The following is a 25,477-nucleotide window of genomic DNA, read 5'->3' on the forward strand; positions in this document are numbered from 1 at the left end:
TTAATACTACCATTTACTAGCTATTCTTCCTGATCCTCTCTCTCTTCCCACCCCTCACCCTCCGACAGGATCCAGTGTGTGTTGTCCACCCCTTCATGTATTCATGTGTTCTCATCATTTAGCTCCCACTAGTAAGTGAGAACATGTGGTATTTGGTTTTCTGTTCCTGTGTTAGCTTGCTAAGGATAATGACCTCCAGCTTCATTCATGTCTTTGCAAAGAACATGATCTTGTTCCCTTTTATGGCTTCATAGTATTCAGTGGTGTATATGCAGCACATTTTCTTTATCCAGTGCATCATTGATGGGCATTTAGGTTGATTCCATGTCTTTACTATTGTGAATACTGCTACAATAAACATTCATGTGTGTGTGTCTTCATGGTAGAATGCTTTGTATTCCTCTGGGCATGTATTCAGTAATGGGATTCCTGGATCTAATGGTATTTCTGCCTCTAGGTCTTTGAGGAATTTCCATCTTGCCTTCCACAATGATTGAACTAATTTACACTCCCATCAACAGGGTAAAAGTATTCCTTTTTCTCCATAACCTCGAAAGTATCTGTTGTTTTTTGACTTTTTTAATAATTGTCATTCTGATTGGTGTGAGATGGCATCTCACTGTGGTTTTGATTTGCATTTCTCTAATGATCAGTGATGTTCAGCTTTTTTTCATATGCTTTCTGGCCACATGTATGTCTTCTGTATTAGTCTGTTTTCATGATGCTGATAAAGACATACTCGAGATTGGGGAAAAAATATAGACTTAATGAACTTACAGTTCCATGTGGCTGAGGAGGCCTCACAGTCATGGCAGAAGGTGAAAGGCACTTCTTACATGGTGGCAGCCAAAGAGAGAGAGGTTGTGCAGGGGAACTCTTCTTTTTTTTTTTTTTTTTTCCGCCCAGGCTGGAGTGCAGTGGCACGATTTCGGCTCACTGCAACCTCTGCCTCCCAGGTTCAAGCAATTCTCTGCCTCAGCTGCCCGAGTAGCTAGATTTACAGGTGCCTGCCACCACACCCAGCTAATTTTTGTATTTTTAGTAGAGACGGGGTTTCACCATCTTGGCCAGGCTGGTCTTGAACTCCTGACCTCTTCATCCATCCACCTCAACCTCTCAAAGTGCTGGGATTACAGGCGTGAACCACCGTGTGTGGCTGGAACTCTTCTTTTTAAAACTATCAGATTTTATGAGTCTTATTCACTATCACGAGAACAGCATGATAAAGAAGTGCCCCCATGATTCAATTACCTCCCACTGGGTCCCTCCTACAACATGTGGGAATTCAAGATGAGATTTGGGTGGGGACACAGCCAAGCCACATCATTCCACCCCCGGCCCCTCCCAAATCTCATGTCCTCACATTTCAAAACCAATCATGCCTTCCCAACAGTCTCCCAAAGTCTTAACTCATTTCAGCATTAACTCAAAAGTCCACAGTCCAACACCTCATCTGAGACAAGGCAAGTCCCTTCCACCTATGAGCCTGTAAAATCTAAAGCAAGTTAGTTACTTCCTAGATACAATGGGGCTATAGGCATTGGGTAAATACAGCTGTTCCAAATGTGAGAAAGTGGCCAAAACAAAGGGGCTACAGGCCCCATTCAAGTTCAAAACTCAGCAGCACAGTCAGATCTTAAAGGTCCAAAATGATCTCCTTTGACTCCATGTCTCACATCCAGGTCATGCTGATGCAAGAGATTGGTTTCCATGGTCTTGGGCAGTTCCATCCCTGTGGCTCTGCAGGACACCTCCTCCCTCCCAGGCTGGAGGTGAGGCCTGGTGGGAAGTGTTTGGATCATGCAGCAGATCCCTCATGGCTTGGTGTTGTCTTCAAGATAGTGAGTTTTCATGAGATCTGGTCATTTAAGAGTGTGTGGCACCTCCCCGCCCCACTCTTTCTTGCACCTCCTTTTGCCATGTAACATGCCTACTACAAGGTGGAAATCCTTCAACTTCCACCTTGATTGTAAGCTTCCTGATACCTTCTTAGAAGTGGATCAGATGCTAGGAGCTTGCTTCCTGTAAAGCCTGCAGAACTGTGAGCTAGTTGAACCTTGTTTCTTTATAAATTACCTAGTCTCACATATTTTTTTATAAAAATGAAAAACTAGCCTAGTACAGTGGTTTTGGATAAGACCTGGAAGAATTTTGAGATTACCAGGCAGAGACTCTTGTTCTCTTTCTTTACTTTCTCCCAAACAGTCTCTCTCTGTGCTGAGCCACCGGGGTCTGGGGGTAGGGGGACACAAGCATCCCTGTGGAAACCAGCACTGGGTCTGACCTGAAGCCAGCATGGCACTGGGTCTCACCCAAGGCCCACTGTAACCACTACCTGGCTACAGATTATGTTTCCTCAAGGTCCTAGTGCTCCAGAGTAAGTAGGTGGTGAAGCCAGCCAGGATTCTACCCTTTCCTTCAGGTTGGCAAATTCCCTTGGGCCCCAGGAAGTTCCAGAGATGCCATCTTGGAGCCAGAGATTGGAGTCAAATACCTTAGAAATCTACCAGGTGCTCTAGTCTATTGCAGCTAAGCTAGCACTCAAGCCATATGACCAAGTCCTTCCCACTCTTTCCTCTCTTTTCCATAGGCAGAAGAGCCTCTACCCATGGCCACCACAACCACAGACCCATGGGAGGTACAGACAGGTTACCACTGATGTTCACTTAAGGCCCAAGGGCTCTTTAGTCAGATTGTTGTGAATCCTAGTAGGCCTGAGACTCATCCTTCAGGGCAGTGGACTCCCCTCTGTCCCAAGGCAGATACAGAAATGCCATGCATGGGCTGAAGTGTGGAATCAGGGACCACAAGAGCCCACCTGATGCTCTCTATTCACCTGTGGTCGAGCTGGTACCTAAGGTACAAGACAAAGTCCCGTTTGCTTTCCCCTCAGCTTTTCTTAAGTAGGAGTTTCTCACAATAGCCACCAGAGCTGAGAATGTACTGAGTCTCATCTGAAGCCAGCATGTCTCAGAGTGCTCAGTATGCCCAAAGCCTAAGGCACACTACCTGGGTATTGCTACTGGTTATTCAGGGCCCAAGGGCTATTTAGTCAGCAAATGATAAATCCTGCCAGGACTGGGTTCTTCCCTTCAAGGCAGAAGGTTCCCTTCTGGCCCAGGGTGTGTCTACATATGCCATCCAGTAGCTCTGGCCTGGAACAAGGGCTTTATGATTGCCCAGTGCCTTATCCTACTGTGGCTGAGCTGGTATCCGAGGTGCAAGACAAAGTCCTCTTTACTCCCTCCTCCCTCCTCATCTCAAGCAGAAGGAAGGAGTCACTTTTGTTGCTGTGAGCTGCACTGCCCAGGTTTGGGGGAGGGGTGATGCAAACAATTCCTTAGCCATCGCAGCTGGTGTGTCACTAGGTTGTGTTTCCCCCATGTCCACTGGCTCTGAGCCTAGCACAGCACTAGTACTTGCCTAGGAATTGCAGTCCTTGTGGCCTAGACAGCCTTTCAGATTAATTTAGAACCCCAGAGCACTTTAGCCCATCATGGCAAGGCTTGCCAAAACTCAAGTTCCAAATGCTACGATGGGTGAGTCCCCTTTGGCCAGGGCTGGCTTAAATGCTCCTTCTATGGGCTGGTATCGGTGGACTTCTACCTGGTTTTGCTTTCCTCTGTAATAGAACAGCCCTGAGTTCTATGCAGGGCCCCACAGTTGCTGTACTCTCCCTCCCACAAGCACTCAGATTCTCTACACCACATGGCTGCTGCTGGAGAGGTGGGGCAGTGTGGAGGGAAGGGGGAAGGGTGGCATTAGTGATTGAAGACTGTCTTTGGTACCCTCTTCAGTACCTCTTTCAGAGATAAGAAGTTAAAACCAGATACTGTGATTGCTTACCTGATTTTTTATTCTTATGAAGGTGCTTTTATTCCTACAGCACAGGAATGACTGGTGAAGGCTTCTATTCTGCCACCTTGCTCCATCCTCTAATCTCTAAGTTTTTGGTGTATAGCATGCCTCTGTCAATATCACTTCTTAGATACCTCACTTTCTTTATCCTAGTCCAATCCTCGTGTTGATAAACATACACAGATATTCTGATGTTAAAATTTCTTCCCATTCCTTGAATAAGCTCTATTTGATCATGATGTATTTTATTTTATACATTTTTTTAAAATTATTATACTTTAAGTTCTGGGATACATGTGCAAAACATGCAGGTTTGTTAAATAGGTATAATGTGCCATGTTGGTTTGCTGCACCCATCAACTTGACATTTACGTTAGGTATTACTCCTAATGCTATCCCTCCCCCAGCCCCCCACCCCCAAAAGGCCCCAGTGTGTGATGCTCCCCTCCCTGTGCCCATGTGTTCACATTGTTCAACTCCCACTTATGAGTGAGAACATGCAGTGTTTGGTTTTCTCTTTTTGTGGTACTTTGCTGAGAATGATGGTTTCCAGTTTCATCCATGTCCCTGCAAAGGACATGAACCCATCTTTTTTATGGCTGCATAGTATTCCATGGTGCATATGTGCCACATTTTCTTTATCCAGTCTATCATTGATGGGCATTTGGGTTGGTTCCAAGACTTTGCTATTGTGAACAGTGCTGCAATAAACATACGTGTGCATGTGTCTTTATAGTAGAATGATTTATAATCCTTTGAGTATATACCCAGTAATGGGATTGCTGGGTCAAATGGTATTTCTAGTTCTAGATCCTTGAGGAATCGCCACACTGTCTTCCACAATGGTTGAACTAATTTACATTCCCACCAACAGAGTAAAAGCATTCCTATTTTTCCACATCCTCTCCAGCATCTGTTATTTCCTGACTTTTTAATGATCACCATTCTAATTGGCATGAGATGGTATCTCATTGTGGTTTTGATTTGCATTTCTGTAATGACAAGTGATGATGAACATTTTTTCATACGTTTGTTGGCTGCATAGATGTCTTCTTCTAAGAAGTGTCTGTTCATATTCTTGGCCCATTTTTTGATGGGAGGTTGTTTGTTTTTTGCTTTTTCTTTCTGTAAATTTGTTTAAGTTCTTTGTAGGTTCTGGATATTAGCCCTTTGTCAGATGGATAGATTGCAAAATTTTCCCCCAATCTGTAGGTTGCCTGTTCACTCTGCTGATAGTTTCTTTTGCTGTGCAGAAGCTCTTTAGTTTAATTAGATCCCATTTGTCTATTTTGGCTTTTGTTGCCATTGCTTTTGGTGTTTTAGTCATGAAGTCGTTGCCCATGCCTATGTCCTGAATGGTATTGCCTAGGTTTTCTTCTAGACTTTTTTATGGTTTTAGGTCTTACATTTAAGTCTTTAATCCATCTTGAGTTAATTTTTGTATAAGGTGTAAGGAAGGGATCCAGTTTCAGCTTTCTGCATGCGGCTAGCCAGTTTTCCCAGCACCATTTATTAGATAGGGTATCCTTTCCCCATTGCTTGCTTTTGTCAGGTTTGTCAAAGATCAGATGGTTGTAGATGTGGGGTGTTATTTCTGAGGACTCTGTTCTGTTCCATTGGTCTATATATCTGTTTTGGCATAAGTACCATGCTGTTTTGGTTACTGTAGCCTTGTAGTATAGTTTGAAGTCAGGTAGCATGAGGCTTCCAGCTTTGTTCTTTTGGCTTAGGATTGTCTTGGCTATGCAGGCTCTTTTTCGGTTCCATATGAAATTAAAATAGTTTTTTCCAATTCTGTGAAGAAAGTCAGTGGTAGCTTGATGGGGATGGCATTGAATCTATAAATTACTTTGGGCAGTATGGCCATTTTCATGATGTTGATTGTTTCTATCCAAGAGCATGGAATGTTCTTCCATTTGTTTGTGTCCTCTTTTATTTCCTTGACCAGTGGTTTGTAGTTCTCCTTGAAGAGGTCCTTCACATCCCTTGTAAGTTGGATTCCTAGGTATTTTATTCTCTTTGTAGCAATTGTGAATGCGAGTTCACTCATGATTTGGCTCTCTGTTTGTCTGTTATTGGTGTATAAGAATGCTTGTGATTTTTGCACATTGATTTTGTATCCTGAGACTTTGCTGAAGTTGCTTATCAGCTTAAGGAGATTTTGGGCTGAGACGATGGGGTTTTCTAAATATATGATCATGTCATCTGCAAACAGAGACAATTTGACTTCCTCTTTTCCTAACTGAATACTCTTTTTTCTTTCTCTTGCTTGATTGCCCTGGCCAGAACTTCCAATACTATGTCGAATAGGAGTGGTGAGAGAGGGCCTCCTTGTGCCAGTTTTCAAAGGGAATGCTTCCAGTTTTTGCCCATTCAGTATGATATTGGTTGTGGGTTTGTCATAGATAGCTCTTATTATTTTGAGATACATTCCATCAATACCTAGTTTATTGAGAGTTTTTAGCATGAAGGGCTGTTGAATTTTATCGAAGGCCTTTTCTGCATCTACTGAGATAATCATGTGGTTTTTGTTGTTGGTTCTGTTTATGTGGTGGATTATGTTTTGATTTGTGTATGTTGAACCAGCCTTGCATCCCAGGGATGAAGCCAACTTAATCATGGTGGATAAGCTTTTTTATCTGCTGCTTGATTTGGTTTGCCAGGATTTTATTGAGGATTTTTGCACCGATGTTCATCAGGGATATTGGCCTAAAATTTTCCTTTTTTGTTGTGTCTCTGCCAGGTTTTGGTATCAGGATGATGCTGGCCTCATAAAATGAGTTAGGGAGGATTCTTTCTTTTTCTATTGAGTGGAATAGTTCCAGAAGGAAAGGTACCAGCTCCTCTTTGTACCTCTGGTCGAATTTGGCTGTGAATCCATCTGGTCCTGGACTTTTTTTTTTTTGGTTGGGAGGCTATTAATTATTGCCTCAATTTCAGAACCCATTATTGGTCTATTCAGAGATTTGACTTCTTCCTGGTTTAGTCTTGGGAGGGTGTATGTGTCCAGGAATTTATCCATTTCTTCTAGATTTTCTAGTTTATTTGCATAGAGGGGTTTATCATATTTTCCGATGGTAGTTTGTATTTCTATGGGATCAATGGTAATATCCCCTTTATCATTTTTTATTGTGTCTATTTGATTCTTTTCTTTTTTCTTCTTTATTAGTCTTGCTAACGGTCTATTTTGTTGATCTTTTCAAAAAACCAGCTCCTGGATTCACTGATTATTTGAAGGGTTTTTTTGTGTCTCTATCTTCTTCAGTTCTGCTCTGATCTTAGTTATTTCTTGCCTTCTGCTAGCTTTTGAATTTGTTTGCTCCTGCTTCTCTAGTTCTTTTAATTGTGATATTAGGGTGTTGATTTTAGATCTTTACTACTTTCTCTTGTGGGCATTTAGTGCTATAAATTTCCCTCTACATACTGCTTTAAATGTGTCCCAGAGATTCTGGTGCATTGTGTCTTTGTTCTCATTGGTTTCATGATTCATTTTAATACTCCTTTAGATTCAGTTAATATTTTATTTATACTTTTTGCATTTATAAGCAAAAATCAAGTGTGCTGATAATTTTCTTTCTTTTACAGTCTTCATCCCGTTTTGGAATTGTAGCTTCTTAAAAGGAGAAGGATAAGTTCCCTTATATTCTTTTTTTTTGGCAGTAATTTTTGTTACAGGTAATAATCTGCTCCTCTAAATCTTTCCAGGTCTGAAGCATATTATGGGGAGTGGGGGAAGTTTGAACAAGTCACTTTCATCTGGGCTTACATTTTACCCTTATGCAAAAATGGAGATAATGAAACCTATCTTGTAGATTTTTGGAGAGCTTAAAAGTTAATTTTTAAAAAGGACATAGCACTGAACATGACCCAAAGAAGATGCTTAATTGATAGAAAATTAACAGCTTCTTGGGCTTCATTGACATTTTGGACTTATTCCCCTCCCCTTCCCCCTGATGTCTCTAGGCTTACATTATGGTGTTGGTCATTCTCTAAAATTTTATTTTATTTTATCTCTATTATAATGCCTGTTGTTCTCTTTAATTTCAAGCACTGTTTCATTCTAGAAATTGCTGGTTAATTACTTTATGTTGGAATGTGGTAAAATATTATGTTGGAAAAACCAACCAAAGTGCTTTCCAACTAATGTATTTCCTGTTACCCATGGCCCTTCTCCCCTTCAGGCAGATGTTTAGAGAGCTCTAGAGTTATTGCTCCAAGGAAGGGTTGGAAATGCTGAAACAGAATAAACAAAGTACAAATTACTTTTTTCTTTTAAAATTCTAGATTGTCAAGAGAAAAAAGTTACATGTATAAAATCTACAGTAGAATTGGAAGATGGATCTAATGAGAATAACACTAAGGAAACACCATCCTTCAAAAACTAAAAGCTCCTTGATGAGGTGAGAGGATTGCATTAACAAAGGCTGAAGGGACAGTGTGGGCTACTGAAATATGGGTCGGGTTGGGCTGGAACCTGCCCCTCTTCTGGGATCAGTTTGGGGTATAGAGATATAGCAGAAATCTCAGATAATTTGAGAGATTCCAGTGCAGGAGTAACCTATGCTTTCTTTCCCAGGTAGACACCAGGCGAAAGGCAAGATGCCAGAGTATAAATGACTTTGAGGTGTGTTCAGTCAGGTGAGATGTAGACAGCCTTATTATTGCCCACTGCCCAGTGAGATATGGGAGTGGTAAAAACGTACCTGCATCTGAGAAGAGCATGGAAAGGGTGAAGGGCTATAGTTGACCAAACCAAGTTTCCCAATCACAGTGAGATCCAGATTTGGAGAAAAATCCCAAAACCCAACAGGGGCCTGGGTTAAGTGGGAGACAGCTGGACTCAAATGAGTCTAGCTGTTAGGTTGAAGACTGGTTTTGGGGATGAACTCAGAAAGGACCTGCATAGACCAGCACCTAAAGATAGTGAGGAATGAGGACATCTCAGTAGGTGCCAGCATGGATAGCTGATGACCCAGCCTGCATGCTTCCTTTAGTGCCTTACATTATTATGGAAGCCCATTAGAACCGAGACACCACTCCAACGAATAGGCAATGGGAAGAAATGGATTGAGCTAAAATTCCCACCAACTGGCCAGATGAAGTATTTATAATAAATTTTGTTTTATGTGGAAAAATTTATAATAAATTTTGTTTTATGTGCAAAAGCATGTTATGCTTCTTGCACACCTGAGTTTGTGGCATGAAATTTCTACCCACTATATACCCATATTCCCAAATTTTAAAAATGCTTATCGGAGATGTGGCAGTGTGGTCCTTTGGGACATGCCTGCTAATGGTTATTATCTCTTGCAAGTTATTCAAACTTTTTGCTTCAGTTTCCACATCTATAGATGGGAATGTAGTCTTTATTGTGGCCACACAATAATGAAATGAAATAATGTATTGCAGAGTGCCTCACATCTAATTGGCATTCAAGGGTTATCATTTAGTTTCCTAACTCTAACTCCAGAGAGAAAATGTGAGAAAAATAGCTATAGAAATTTGAAAGAAAACAAAGAGCTTGGAGAAGGTATTTTTTGGAAGATTATTAATGCTGTTACTGCTAATTAGGAGACTGGGTGTGCATTTCCCAGGCAAGGACTGCAATCAGCAAAATTTTCAGTGTGATGCTCAGTACAATTAGCAAGGCCAGGCCTGTTGATTTGCCACAACTCCAAATTCTTGTCAGCCTTTTTTAATCACCCTTTGCATCATCTCAGGAATCAACCGCATAAGATCATGCCATTACTATCCCCTCCAGGGGATACCTACAGTATTATTCGTTTGAAGGAAAAGAGGAAACCTTGTAGATCTATCCTAGCAACAATAGATATTTCCCATAATGTAACATCATGAATTAACTCCCATGTAAACAAGAACTGGTTTTGTGTGTTTACTCATTGAGTGCTTCTAAAATTCTGAACAGAAAATTTGTGGGAAGTTGCCCTGTTTTCTTCAACTTAGCATATGGTATTAATGATTAAATAATGTCTCTATAATTAAACGTCATGTAGTGTTTCCTCACCTTGTGCTCAAATTTTTACCATTTTAGATCAGAGATTTTTTTCTCTAAGTTTTAAATGGTATTCCAATGTCAACAGTTCTCTCTGGAAATGTGATAGAAAAACTATTTACACTTACCTGCCCAACACTTTATGGGAATTTGTGAGTGACAGTAGATTGTTATAGAACTGCTTAGCAGTGTCTGAGGACTTAGCTCGTTCTCATTTATAAAAAGAAGGGTGAAGCCAAGTCATCTCTGATTACACGGAACACATATTATATAGTTTCTGGAACAGACTCAATTTCAAACATTCTATTCCTTTGGTCTCATAAGTAGATTCATTCCTTCCAGACCAAACGTTCAAAAAAGAATCTCAATTTACTTTAACAATTATTGCTGATTAAAATTTCTATGATTCTGTTACAGACAAGAAAATGAAGTGTCCCAGAAGAGGAAATGCAGTAAGTGTTGGGGATAAAAAGAAGGTTAGAAAGCGAACAATTTCAGAAGGGAAGAAATGACCTCTAAAAGGGAAGCTGGGATGATAGCAAAGGCAATGTCAACGTCCTCACAATTTCACTTAGATTTTCCTGGCTACTCTGCAGAAGGCATGATAAGATAAATGCTTATTGATTTCAAGATCAAGGCAACAGGATCCTTTCTGTTTAATTATTTCTTTGTAAGTTAAAAACTAAATGCTTTGGCAAGTGCTGTAAATACAAAGGGCAGGGGTATTCAGTGCCCTTAGAATCAATGGCAAGTTCAAGCTGTGTGTGACAAGGGATAACCATTATTCATCCATTCATTCTAACAAAGTCTGTAAATGACTACCATGCATTAGGTGATGGTCTGGTCACTGAAATATCAGAGACAGGTAAAGCTCAGTCTCTGTTCTTAAGGACCTCAGGGTTTAGAAGAAGAAAAAGACATATAAGTAAGTACAATAGAAATATAAACAAGAACCAAAGGTAGCTCAGGGGAAGTGAGTAACTCTTAGAGGAAAATATTAAATAAAGGATTTCTGGATGAGAGGATGTTTGAACTGAATTCTGAAGATGAATAAAAGTCCTTCTGGAGAAATAAAAACACCATTTTGGCAGAAATAATAGTATATGTGAATACATTTAGAACAAAGCATGGAAACTATGTTTAGGATATTGTCATAAGCTTGGTATCTTTAGAGCATTTTGTGTAAGTGGTGAGGGGAGAAAATGGGAGGAGATAAAAAACGTAAACGTAGGGTAGGGTAGATTATGAATGGATAGAAATGTCTCTTAAAGCATCTGAACTATACCCAAATGCCTAGGAGGAGAAAGTGAAGCATTCAAAGCAGAAGAAACCAGGAATGGGTTTGCCAGCAGCGTTGAGAATAAGTTGGAAGACAGAAATAAGTGAATTATAGACACAGATATATATTTTTGAGTAATCAGAAATAGTGAGAAATAAAGAGAGTCTTGCCTAAGACAGTGGTAGTGGAAAGAAAACAGCAGCAAGACTTAAGAGATAGTCAAGAAATATTCAATAGAATCTGGTGATGACTGATGTGAGGTGTGAGAGAGACTTCAAGTTCTCTGGTCCATGGAGAAGGAAGCATGTTGAATCTGAGGGGCCAGTAGACATCTACATAGCAGGAAATAATCGAGAGGGACTGCTGGTGTAAAGATATGAAGAGCACCAAATTCCATCACTTATTTATTTGATGCTTGCCTCATAGTAGTCACTCCTAACCCCAAAGGTCTCAGAGTCTCAGTAATCTCCAAAGAAGGTGCATGTAATTATAGAACACTGAGTTATTTAATTACACTACTAGAGGAAGTATACGGTGTGACGAGAGCATAGAGAAGGGTTCTTAACAAAGACTTGGCATAAGGTAGCATGGAGAGAGGGCAGCAGGCCAGGCAGGTTAGAGAAAAAAAAAAGTGTAAGCTGACATCTAAAGACCTAGTAGAAATGAACCAGAAAAAAAGGAATACAGAAATTTTTCAAGCAGTGAAAGTCCCATGTGCCATGACCAGGAAGCGATAATGGGCATGGCGTACCTGAGAAATTGTGGAATGTTCCATCGCTGGAGTGTCAAGTCTAAAAGGAGAACAGCAAGAGCTGAAGCTGGGAAAGTTAGCTTTGGCATGATCATGGCACAAGCTATTTTATAGAACTTAAACTTTATCTAGTGTGCAAGAGAAAGCCACTTAAGGATTTTTTAGCAGGGTAGTGATACAATCAGATTTGTATTTTAAAAACTCATTCCAGCTACTGTGTGGAAAATGAGATGTTAATTAAAATAGTGAGCCTCGATGTGATTTCCTAGGATAAAGACCACAATTTGATTCAACCTGCTAATGTGCTCTGGCCTTCAGGGTGCATTTAAAAAATTTATTCATTTAATTCTGAGTTAGTTGTGAACATTTAAAAATTGGGAACTCTCACATAAAATCAGGGTTCCAGGGTTCTTTTGACAAAGTAGATCTGGCAAAGCTGTGTCCTTACTCCTGACCTGTCAGCAACTGGCTGGAGCTGAGTTGTCCACAAAATGATGCTTTTATACAACGTAGGTGCCCTTCTGCTCACCACAGTCCAATGGAGGCATTTAGTTTGATTTTAGTGCCCCGGAATTAACCAGAGAGAACATGTAGACTGAGAATAAAGAACCGCTGGACATGCCTATCTAAAACCAAACTCCTCTGCCAGATGACATCCCCATTTCCTACTCATGATTTTTGTTTTATCAATTTTTTTCTCATCAAATTTTCCCCTCTACCGGGTCATTTCCATTGACATAAAAACATGTTATTTTTCTGTCTTAACAAGAATTTTTCTTGGCTCTCTTCCCCACCAGCTACCCCCATAACTTTGTTCTCTTTTCCTCTCAAATCATCTTCTCAAGCCAACCACTCTAGGAACACCGCTCATGTCAGTGTCATCAAGGACTTTCTTGCTGCCAATTTCAATGTGTAGTTCTTAGTCCTCACCTTACTTAACCTATCTGCGGTAATCAACACAAAGTTAGTCATTGCCTTTTATTTGAAACGATGTTTTACCCCCTTGACTTTTAGGATACACTACATATCTTGAGGATCTTTCTACCTTGCTGACTCTTCCTTCTTAGTCTCTTTTATGAATTCTTCTTTCTCAAGGCCGGAGAGCCTCATATCTTAGTCTTTGTATCTCTTCTCTGTCTGTACTCACTCCTTGTCATTCAGGGCTGTCAACAACCTTATGTCTTTAAATACCATCTATATGTTAAAAGCTTCCAAGTTCCTTACTCCAGCCCCTACCTTTCTCTTGAGCACCATTCTCCCAATGCCTAGTTGATTTTTGACATCTAACTAAAAAGCATCTAAAGTTCACTATGTTAAATACAAACTTGGATTCTCATCTGTCTTCCACTAAACATGCCCCTCTCATAGCATTCCTATCTTAAAAAATGACATCCCATTCCACCTGTTGTCAATGCCAAAGACTTCTAAAATAACCTTACTTCTTCTGTTTCCTTCACACCACACATCAAATCTGCTGCAAATCCTATTGGCCCTACCTATCTTTGAAATTTTTCCAGAATGCAATCCCTTCTTCCTCCTCCACTGCTTCCACTCTGGTCCAATCCCCTTCGATCTCCTTCCTGGAATTTTACAATAGTTTCCTAGCTGATGTCTCTGTTTTCAAGGTTCCTTCCTGCAGGTTCTACACTGAAAAAGCAACCAGCACTTGAAAAGAAAGAGGGTTTCTGTAATACTTTCTCAGGATGAGTTTGAAGTTATGCATTTGGGGCAAAACTATTGTATAAGTGAGGTGTGTCCTTCTTGGTACATCATGATGAAGTTGATATGTCTTATTTCTAGAGATTTTAATCTTAATAATTTGTTTAAGGCAGTGCCTACAGATTGTCCCCACTGTAAAGAAACATATCTATGTAGACTTTTTGAACATGTACAGTACATGTTGTGTTTCTCTACAAACTTTGACTAGTCACCAGTAGAAGAAAAGGATCCAGAAAAAGAATGGAGTATTGAACATCTCTTGTGTCCTACTTCACATTGTACTGTCACACTTTCTTAAAGCTGCCATTTTTTGGAACAACCAGCTGAGCTAAAATGTAATCAGATAGTATCTTGTCATAACTGTACAGAGTAACTTTGGGGACTTTAGCCATAAGGATTAGCTGGCAACAACAAAAAGGACATTGTTGGAATTCACTCAGATATACTTCCACATGTGCAAATGTGGAAGTGCAATGTTGCTAATTGTCTGATGTGGTTTGGCTCTGTGTCCCCAACCAAATCTCATCTTGTAGCTTCCATAATTCTCATGTGTTGTAAGAGGGACTGGATGAGAGATAATTGAATCATGGCAGTGGGCCTTTCCTGTGTTGTTCTCATGATAGTGGATAAGTCTCACAAGATGTACCTCACGATATCTGATGGCTTTCAAAACCGGAGTTTGGGTCGGGCCTGTTGGCTTATGCCTGTAATTCCAGCACTTTGGGAGGCCAAGGCTGGTGGATCACCTCAGGTCAGGAGTTCGAGACCAGCCTGGCCAACACTGTGAAACCCTGTCTCTAATAAAAATACAAAAATTAGCTGGGCATGCTGGTGGGCACCTATAATCCCAGCTACTCGGGAGGCTGAGGCAGGAGAATGGCTTGAATCTAGGAGGCAGAGGTTGCAGTGAGCTGAGATGGTGTCATTGCACTCCAGCCTGGGTGAGAAGAGCAAAACTCCATCTCAAAATAAATAAATAAATAAATAAATAAAAATAAAAATAAAAAAACAGGAGTTCACCTGTACAAGCTCTCTCTTTGCCTGCCACCATTCAAATAAGATGTGACTTGCTCCTCTTTGCCTTCCGCCATGATTGTGAGGCCTCCCCAGCCATGTGGAACTGTGAGTTCTCCATTAAACCCCTTTCCTTTGTAAATTGCCCACTCTCACATATGTCTTTATCAGCAGTGTGAAAATGTACTAATACACCATCCTTGGAGCAACCCTTCACAAGTGAGAGACAAAAACAGATGGATAAGTAGCCCCTGTCCTGAATCTCAGGAAGAACATTCTAAAGTGCATTTTCATAACTCCTTAGAGGCTTCCTACCAAGATGGAGTCCTGTGGCCTACAGTGGTGATTTTCTTGGTCAAGGGTTGCACCGTTGGTTTGGCTTTTTCTCCTTCTCTGCTTTTCAGTTTTCTAAGTCCTCCACTCATGTTCTTTGGAATATCTTTTTCCAAAATGGAATCCCAGCGCAGAAGCCCTTGTTTGTCATCTGCTTTTTTGCGGGAGACTACGTTAAAATATGTTAAAGCGAGACAGTCACTAAAACAGGAATCCATAGAAATCAAGAAATCAGAGCTCTGGCAAGATTAGAAATTTTGGAGAACAGTTAGACAGATAGTTCATTGGAGAGGGGAGTGGGGAAGCATATTAAGTGGTAAGCAGAGTAAAGGGAAGAAAGGAAATAGAAACAGTAAATAGAAATAGAATAGTAATAGACAGTATAGAAATAGAAATAGACAGTAAATAGAAACCACTCTTTTTTGAAGGAAATGGACAGATTGGGTGGCAGCTGGAGGGATATACAGGGAACACTGGGAAAAGACAGATGTTTCAAGAAATAAATACAATCTAATGGTGTAAGTGCTATAAAAAGCTGCCACATTTGCTGTGGAAAGAATACAGGAAGGCAATTTTCAAGGACAGTTTTGGCAGGTAGAGGGTTTCAGGCAAACTCCAGGAAACAGCTTTTGCTAAGACACTGAGTTCTGAAAGAGGAGAGTGTGTTTGAGGAATTTCAAGTATAGCACCTTGGCTGGAACACATAATGTGATGATGGTTATAGGTGACACTGGAAACTTTGCAGAGCCCGGCTATGATGGATTGTCTAAAGGGGCTGAATATTCTACCCTCCACTCAAGGAGCTTTCCTTTGTTAGCAGCACTTAAGTAATAAAATGAAGAAGCAATGCCACTATCATCTCAGGTATCTTCTAATTCTAAGTCCATAGTCAAACTGACCCGACTGTCTCAAAAATATATTTTTACAGTTGGTTTGCTTGAATCATAATCCAAATAAGATAATAGTTTAGATTTGGTTCTTGTGTCTCTTAAGCCTTTTTATTTCTGAGAAGTAGTCTTCTCACTCTTTTTCCCATGGCATTGACTTTTTGCCAAATTGAATCTAAACATTTAAAGTCTGACTGCTGAATAGTCAGCAAATGTTGATTATAAAATTTCTATTTTGTGGGATTAATCTAGGTTTTATTTTTTTCCAAACATGATCATTCTTAGGAAATGTAATGTACCCTAGGAAAGAAGGCTTATTTTATGTTTGGACAATAATATTAATCCTTTCGCTGCCCTGTCAACCCAACTGTTGGAAGGTGTGTTCAGGAAGGGAGAGGTGAACATCAATATCAATAAAGAAATCCATAACTGCCCTAAATCAGCCCCATTTCTGTGCTGAACAAGCATTCCTTTCTGTGTTAACAACTTGAAGCTAAGTGTCACCATGTTCTCCCTGTCATGGGATCCTGTGTTTTTATCAGAATTCTGTAGAATGCATTAAAGATAACTCTGTTGATGGAAGATCAGAAGGAAGTGATCCATTATGGCAAAAATGAGCTCAATAGTTATTATCTTATATTTTGCTACAAATATTTATGGGAAGGATTCCTTTGTAAATAGCTAAGAGAATGATCCCTCTCTTAAAGGACCTCTCATACTGAATGGCAGACAAATAACCCTTTTTGGCAAATAACTCTATTATGTGACATTCCTAAGGAAACCTAGAGACAACTAGAGGCCGATGTTTCAGGCCATCAGCTGCTAAACTGGCAGGTTATTGCTCCTGTTCCTCCTGCCAACCCATCCACAAACCACTGTGCAGCATCCACTAACATGGAGATCTGTGCTTTTCTTCTCCACCCAGTGCCATCTCCTAACTCTAGTCCCTCCCAGGTGACTGCGCGTTGATGAAACCCAGACCATTCTCACCAGAGTCATCAGTTAAAGTTTTCTGGAGCAAACAAACCCCTGAGTGTTCTGACTACATCATATCAGCTTGAATGTGCATGCAGATAACAAAGACCAGAAGTGACAGTGGGTTTAAAATAATGGCTGGGTGCGGTGGCTCACGCCTGTAATCCCAGCACTTTGGGAGGTGGAGGAGGGCAGATCACTTGAGGTAGGGAGTTTAAGACCAGCCTGGCCAACATGGTGAAATCCCCTCTCTACTAAAAATACAAAAATTACCTGGGCATGATGGCGGGCGCCTGTAATCCCAGAAACTTGGGAGGCTGAGGCAGGAGAATTGCTTGAACCCAGGAGGCAGAGGTTATAGTGAGCCGAGATCGTGCCACTGCATTCCAGCCTGAGCAACAGAGTGAGACTCTGTCTCAAAAAATAAAGATAAAATGAAGCAAAATAAAGAATAAAAAGGTTTTCTTTTCCACATAAAATAATCCTGAGTAAGACAGTTAGGGCAGGTATTGTTGTTTCAGAGTACAATTAGAGGACAAGGGTCCTTAATTCTTTCTGTTATTATAAACCAGAGGTTTTCAGTGCTGCAAGTCCTGAAAATCTGGACTTTTTTCTCTTTTCCTTTCTACTTCTGCTTGCAAACCAGCCAATTATTTTTCTGAGCTCACCTCTTTATCATGAAATTCAGCCAATAGCATATCAGGCTGCTTATACTCTGCTTTCCAACTTCTTTACCTAAGATAACAAGCTCATTTGGTTTATTATCTGCCCTCAAAATTATTACTGACAGGGTTTTGTCAAAATGTTTCACTACTGCATAAATTGCATGCTATCCATGACAGTTTCCACACTATTATCTGCCCAAACATGAAGTCAATACCACATTTGTTTATTTGCTTTTCCCCTCAACAATTTATTTCTAGAAACAAAGCATTTGTCAGGATGGACTAGCTATCCTGCTATAATAAACAACCTGAAATATTCTGGGGCATATAATCATCAATATTATTTCTTTCTAATTCTACACTATGCTGAGGCTTAGCTACATATTTTTTTCATCTCAGGACCCAGATTAAATGAGCAGTTCTTACCCAGGATGTTGCTGGGTACAAAGTAGAAGGAAAAAAAAAAAAGTAACCATGGGTTGAAGTAGGAGGATCACTTAAGCCCAGGAGTTTCAGGGTATAGTGCACAAGAACCGGGCCTGTGAATAGCCAATGCATTCCAGCCTGGTGAACCAGCAAGACCTTCATCTCAAACAGAAGGGAAGGGGAGGGGAGGGGAGGGGAGGGGAGGAAAGAAGGAAGGAAGGAAGGAAGGGAGGGAGGGAGGGAGGGAGGGAGGGAGGGAGGGAACAGAGAGAGACAAGAAAAAAGAAAGAAAGAAAGAAAGAAAGAGAAAGATAAAGAAAGAAAGAAAGAGAAAGAAAGGAAGAAAGAAAGGGAAAGGAAAGGAAGGGAAAGGAAAGGAAAGGAAAGGAAAGGAAAGGAAAGGAAAGGAAAGGAAAGGAAAGGAAAGGAAAGGAAAGGAAAGGAAAGGAAAGGAAAGGAAAAAGAAAAAGAAAGAAAGGAAGGTAGGTGATGGCTCCTAAAGCTGTGCTGGAAAGTCAAATACATCACTTCTGCTGACACTTCAATGTCAATGGAGCAGAGAAATATAATCCTCCTACAGGAAGTAACCTAGCTAAGCTTAGTCAGTAGGGCAGGATATACAGTCCACCCTGTATATCCTCGGGTTCTGCATCCATGGATGCAGCCAACTGTGGATCAAAAATATTTTAAAAAAAATTTTAAATAACAATACAACAAAAATAAGACAAATTAAAAATTACAGTATAGCAACAATTTGCATAGCATTTCCATTGCATTAGATAAAAGCAATCTAGAGATAATTTAAAATATATGAGAAGGTATGCATACGTTACAAGCAAATACTAGGCCATTCTGTATCAGAGACTTGAGTATCTGAGGATTTTGGTACCTTCAAAGGGTCCTGGAATTAATCCCCCAGACAGTCAAGGGATGACTGTCTAATCCTTTCACACAGAGGGTAAAGTAGATAAAGTAAGTCCACCATGAGCATTCTCTTGGCTCTTGCTATTTCAGTGGGCATCAATTTACTTCCAGCTGACAGTATGAAGCCCTTCCTGTCCATGTTTAGAGCAGGCCAATATGCCAGGGAATTAATGCCCAAGCCACCACCCCTACGAGCAGCCTTCAATCAATAAATACATTAGCTCCCTCATCTCTCAGGATAGCTCTGAGGTTCATGGTTTACACTGGAGGGAGTTCCAGTTGCTCTCATTGGTCATGCGCTTTATAGCATGTTCTTTCTTGGCCTTTATCCTATTTCTGTCTTGCTTTCCTTTCCCATATTGGTATTTCCTGTGATCACTGCCCAAATAAACTACTTACATTTGAATCCTTCCTTCAAGGTATCCTTCTGCAAGAACTTAAACTAAGATAGAGGGACAGAAAATATTTAGAGCAATGAGACAGTCTGTCACAAAAAAATACAAAGGCTTCTTGTAATAATTAGCAGTCTTTGCCAGAAATTCTATCACAAAAACTGACCCATCCTCTCCATGCTTCTGCCCTCAAATTTATTTATCTCTTGGTCAGACCAGAAATGTTGTTTCCCAGAAGGGATAAGGACTCCTATAATAGATTATTTGCTTTCACTTCTGGACCACAGGAAGCAAGTGCAGTCATATACTCTAAACAGACTTTACTGCCCTGCCTTTCACAGGACCTCAAGCACGTTTACACACAGTTGCTCTCTGCTCCCCGATACTGGTGCTGTCTCTATCATGAGGGGATGTGTGACAGTATGTGCATACAATTCTATTTCGATGACTGTCTCCCTGACTTCCCTCTTCTGTCTATGAAGATCACCTTGTCAATGCTATTTTGCATGAAACAAGCCTCACATATATGCAAAGCGCTTTCTCTGTACACATATACAAATTAAAGCAGAGATATAATATTGTTTTCTCTTTTCTTTTTGAATCCAAAAGAAACAAGACAAAGACTAAAAATCTCTTCATTTTTTTTTCTCTCTCTCTCACACAGAGACTATACATACACTTATATATCAAGGAGCCAGTTTGATACTCATCGCTTGAAATACTTTGAGATAAACAAGTGTGATAGCCCACAATTTAGTACCATGTATTTTATAGGACAATGTAAACTACAAGTGAATGTCTTTCTTATGCTATATTTTCTTCTGTTTAGGAAGGAAATAAACAGAAAGAGATTTTCTTTCTATTTTGAAGGAAAACTAAAACAAAAGGAAAAACATCCTAGGCAATGCCGTTCAGAAACCAGGATTTGTTTATGAAATGTTTTAAAATCCATTAGTTTTAAAAGATTGATATGACCTATAATTGTCCTGTAATCGAATAAGGATAAGATCATAGCAACTACGAAACAGAAAGCAGAAAACCTGTGCTAACTGTGATCACTACATATAAGCTCAAAAATGTTTGTAGCTGTAATAAACTAGGTGAATGCTAAAATGTTCTTGTTTTCTAATGAAAAAAAGAATACTTTTTCATCTAAAGAAAAAGATTTTACCTATTTGTATACTGTTTTCCATTTTCTTTCTTGTCATTGTCTAGAAGGATGCAGGAGAGAGGCCTTTTGTCATGAGGCATCCATGATGCAGATGCTGATCCTATGTCAAATGTTTAGGTGTTACTTTCTGCACATGAAGAGGAGTGCAATGATTCATCATCTACCAGTCCAGAACAAGCTTGAGGCTACAGGGAGCAGCCTGTGCTTTCATTTGCACATGACCCCAGTGAAGCCAGGAGCTAGTTATTATTTCCTTGAAGAGATATCCTCAGGGGCAAAAAGTTAATAGATTTCACATGCAAGGGATATTTGTGGATTGAGGACACAGAGCTAGAGCTGACAGAATCTAGATATTAAAAACTATTACATCTGTTACATTAGGGTTACCAGTCTAGGAATCTAAGGTAAAATTAACAATTAAAGAACTGGATGCTTTGGCATAAGATTGGCAACATTTTAATTGTACTAAGTAAAGACATTAAGAAAAACCAACCTACAAACACTACTTATTAGCACTACTATTTTTAGAAAGTAGGACATTTGAATTCGTTCCCCAGATGACTACAAATTGGTTTATAAGAAACCACCAGTATGGTCCTTGTTTTCCTCCAGATTGAAATCCTTAGGCTGGTGAACACTGTGTGGTAACCCTGCTCCAGTCCAAGAATGGGCATTAGGGAACTGCTGCTTGAGGGAGCCCACTGAAGAGCTGCTGTCTCCTTGCAGGGTCTTAATTTTTTTTTTTTTTTTAAGTTTTCTAAAGGCAACTACTATATTTTTAATTTATTTTACTTTTCAACTTTCATTTTAAATTCAGGGTGTACAAGTGCAAGTTTGTTACATGAGTAAATTGCATGTCACTGGGGTTTGGTGTACAAATAATTTCATCATCCAGGTAGCAAGTATAGTCCCCAGTGGGTAGTTTTTGACCCTCACCTTTGTCCCACCCTCCAACCTCAAGTAGGTCCCAGTGTCTGTTCTCCTCTTTGTGTTCTTGAGTTCGTATCATTTAGCTCCCATGTATAAGTAAGAATATGAAGTATTTAGTTTTATGTTCCCCTGTTAATTTTTGCAGGGCTTTCAATGACCTTTGGATGGCATGCACTTCAGCCCAAAGCCTTGGGCTGATTCTTACCTGAACCACACAAATTTTCTAGCTGCTAAATTGTTTGGCAATAGATTTCCCTGATAGATTTATAGGACTCCATGTTCTAATGCCAAAGATGTCTCCTGTCACATAATTCTTGAACTGTCTGTTCACAGAAGTCTGCACGTGGATGCACAGAATGAATGAGAACAAATTCACTGGGCAAAGAGTTTTGCTACAAACAATTGCAAAAGTTTAGATAAACTTGTTGGACCATATTCCTAACTGATTCTCTCTCTCTCTCTGCTAAACAGAACATATATTTAAAATATAGACAGTCTTTTCTCTTTTAGAAAAACTTGAGCCAAAGATAAAGTGAGGGGAATTGCTATTTGGTAAAACACTTTCCTGGAGGACAATGCGGTGTATATTATCCAGCTCAGTTTAATTTTTCTGACTCAAGAACTCTATAAAGACAGAAGGCAGATTTTCATCAGGAAACAAGGAATTTTTTCTAGCTCTTTCCACCAAGATTTTGTTTTTTTCATTTAAGAAAATGTCCATACTTTAAAATAATACATACTAAATTATGTAGTAAGGAAGTGACAGGAGGTCTAGAATTGGCATTAAAATACTTCAGCAATGTAAACTCAGTAAGTAGGAAGAGAGAAGAAATATGGCAAAATCTCAGCAACTATTGAAGTGAGGTGATGGGTAAAAAAAGCTCATTGTATTATACTTTCTAATTTTGAAAATGTTTGAAATATGATCATAATAACTTTTAAAATTAATAACTTAAAGGAGAAGCTACTAAAAGGAATTTATGTCATGTTGGGTTGGGTGGGGCAAAGGATTGTTAAGGGTCGGGTTATTGTCGGAAACAGGGAGAGAGACATTGACACCAAAACAATTGTCCCATATGCTGTCTTTAATATACAAGTTAAATGCAGTAATTTTGATAAAAATTGCTTCTCAGCAAATATCATCATGGATGCTGAATCTAGAGGGAATTTTCTGATGGGGAGTAAGATATTTGCGTGATCTCAAAGTGCTTCCCTGTAAATGACTTATTAGTTGCAAAAGGGAAAAACATCCTAAATATGTAGTGGGGAAGTTAGACAATACCTTTACCAGGTGATCACAGTTAATCTCGAATGGACAACTTGTGCCTCCAGATCTGATGCTTGTGATTCCCCAAGACAGACACATCACTTATGTAATACTTATGTGGACAAAAATAAGGTCCAAAGGATATTGGTGCAAAATTGCGGGAGATTCTTGGGAGCTTGGACAATCATGTAGGGACTGCCTTATTAGCTCTGAACCATCCTAGAACTCCTGTTGTATGAGGTGGAAATCAGCTTCTATCTTTACATTACAGCATTCTGAGCTCTTGATTCAGAGAGTCTATCCAAAAAGCATTTGCAGAATTTTTAGAAAGATAAAAAATTTTAGAAAACATATATGAACATGTGGCATGTCCTCAGGGTTATTTCATTGTTATGAATGCTTTCATTTACAACAAGAAACATAGCACAAGAAAAATGAGTAAGGAATTCAGGAAGTTATATGAGAAATAATAAAACAAGTCCAATGAAATGGAGGGAATTAATAAAGTTAAAAGCTGAAAATAAATAATTAAAGACATAGGCTGCATAAATCAAAGAACAAGTTCCTGAGGAAAACAATGAATTTTCCTGGCAAATGTAATCTCAAAAGAAATTGGAGAACATAAATTCACAAATTAGGTTTAAAATATGATATAACAAGATAAATGGTTATTGTTTTCAAAGCATAGGGCAATAATATATATTACCAATTCCTATAGAAAATATTACAAAATTGTACAGAGATAAAATATGACACAAATAGTCATGGAATAAATGGAAAAAGTTCATAAAAAGGATCTAGGCTCAGATATGATTTTATAGACTAGTTATTTTAAAGTATAAAGAGACAGAAAAGTCTCATATTACATAAACTTTTTCCATCACTGAAAATGATGGGAAGCTTAACAGTTCATTTTACATGATAAGCTTAATCCTGCAGCTGAAATCTAACAGAAGGGATCAAAATATAAAATTTTTAAATGAAATAAAATAAAAATAGAAACATTTCACATCATCACTTCATAATACATTTATAACATGTGAACTTTGCTATGTAAATGCTATACTTCATTAAAGTGAAAGTATAAATATATAAATATTATTGATATATATTCTAAGTTCTTAAAGTACAGTCAGTCAAATTTGGTAGTTTATTAAAAGAAATGATTCATCAAGAGCAAGTAGAATATAATCTAAAAACCTTATCCATCTATTATGGTTTCTTAATAAGAAATGTGATAATATGAATTATCACACCACACGAAAAATCATGTAATCAGTTTAGAAAATTAATCAATGAATATCAGTACATTACACACAAAATCTTGAACAAGAAAAGAAAGAATATGTAACGTGAGGCTAACTTAGCATATAAGAATAAAACAACAAAAACATTCTCATTAAAATGAGAAAAGAAACAAAGATTTGAACTATTGTCACTACCTTTTCTTAAGCTTTGTTTTGCAAGATTCAATCAATGGCATAAAACAAGAAGTGTAACCAAGATGTTTAACAATTGCAAAGGAGGAGATTCAATTACTATTTATAGTTGACATTATTTGACTAGAAAAGTGAGAAGAATCAACTAGAAAATGCTATACAACTAACAAAATGTCCAGAGACAAAATAAATCTGTAAAATCCAATAGCTGCAGTGAAACAATAATCACTAGGAAAACATTCAACAGAAAAATGTGTGCAAAATAACTTTATAAAAGAAATAAAAGAGTGGATATACACAATATTCTGGGATGAAAATAAATTTTTCCCAAGTAAATTTCAAAATTTAATATAAAACTCAAGGTGTTTGCTTTTTAAAATTCTGGCTAATTGATTATAAAATTTATCCGGAAAAATATAGGGTTGATACTTGCCAAGAATACTTTGAATAAGCAAGGGGTATTAAAAAATTTCTCAATGAAATTTGAAAATAGACATAAAAAGATAATAATTCATGCTGTAGTAATAAAGTAGAAATAAGCAAAAAAGTAATTGAAATCCCAGAAAACACATTTTTTATTAAAAAAAGGACTTTAAAAGGTAACATTTTACACCAATAAATATTAATTGAACCATTGGTTAACTCTTTGGGGAAAAAAATCAAAATTTGATACCTCATACAAAACGCTAAAATGCATTCCAGGTGGATTAAATAGGTAAGTATTTTAAAACAAAGCAAATGATAACATGGCAATCAAAGAGTAGAAATTTAAACTCATAAATTCTAACTGAAATGGTTAAAATATATTTATAAATAAATAGTTAAAAAAATATTAGTGTTGAAAACAAGGAAATTGTACCGCCATATGCCCAAAACTTTAACTGCGCATAAGATTAGACTACAGGAAGGGCACCAAAATTAGCAAATCCCAGCAAGCAAAGCAAAAGCTGCCTAAGGAGTAATAAGAGGATACGCCTAAGAAAACCCAGAACCTGCCCAAAGTTGGAGTAAGAACTGGATATAAGGACGAGCTGTGGGGCAGCCCTGATAAATTTGTAAAAATGTCCGTAGCAGGATAATGCCTCAAAATGTTGCTGATTATGCTGCCTTCTACCCATAGCATACCCACTGGCCGTCTTCTTTTCGTAGCTATGTGGAATGTGTACTCAATGTCATGTGTAGGTTCACAGTGAAGTCAAAGATGCCACACTCATGGCTTCTGAGTTGAGTCCCTGCCGTCATACTGCCACATCCCCACATTCCAGAGCAGACAAAAGCAGAGGAGATAAAATAATTTTGGAAAGACAACAAAAAAACAGACATGGTCATATGTTGTGTGGATAGGAGGATTCCTCCAACCTCTAGTCACCTCTGTCTCTAGCCTATAGTTCTGGTGGAAATCTTTCTTTAAATTTGGTAATCTCAGAATAGAGT

The 25,477-nt window shown here is 38.9% G+C and overlaps 1 long non-coding RNA gene across 6 annotated transcripts in view; it reads left to right on the forward strand.

The window, feature by feature from the left end:
* Positions 1–25,477, forward strand: part of LOC101927995 (uncharacterized) — a 119,590-nt gene that overhangs the window by 31,775 nt on the left and 62,338 nt on the right. For 3 of the 6 annotated variants that reach the window (XR_001740627.2, XR_427322.4, XR_001740626.2), the window contains exons 2-3: positions 8,143–8,258; positions 10,289–10,323. This is a non-coding gene — a long non-coding RNA (uncharacterized LOC101927995). Of the gene's footprint in view, positions 1–8,142; positions 8,259–8,434; positions 8,483–10,288; positions 10,463–25,477 lie in introns of those variants that run through there. The other 3 variants (XR_001740628.2, XR_007095856.1, XR_427323.4) reach the window with 3 other exon arrangements.

Source organism: Homo sapiens, chromosome 3 (genome assembly GCF_000001405.40).
Source record: "Homo sapiens chromosome 3, GRCh38.p14 Primary Assembly".
NCBI classification, from domain to species: Eukaryota; Metazoa; Chordata; class Mammalia; order Primates; family Hominidae; genus Homo; species Homo sapiens.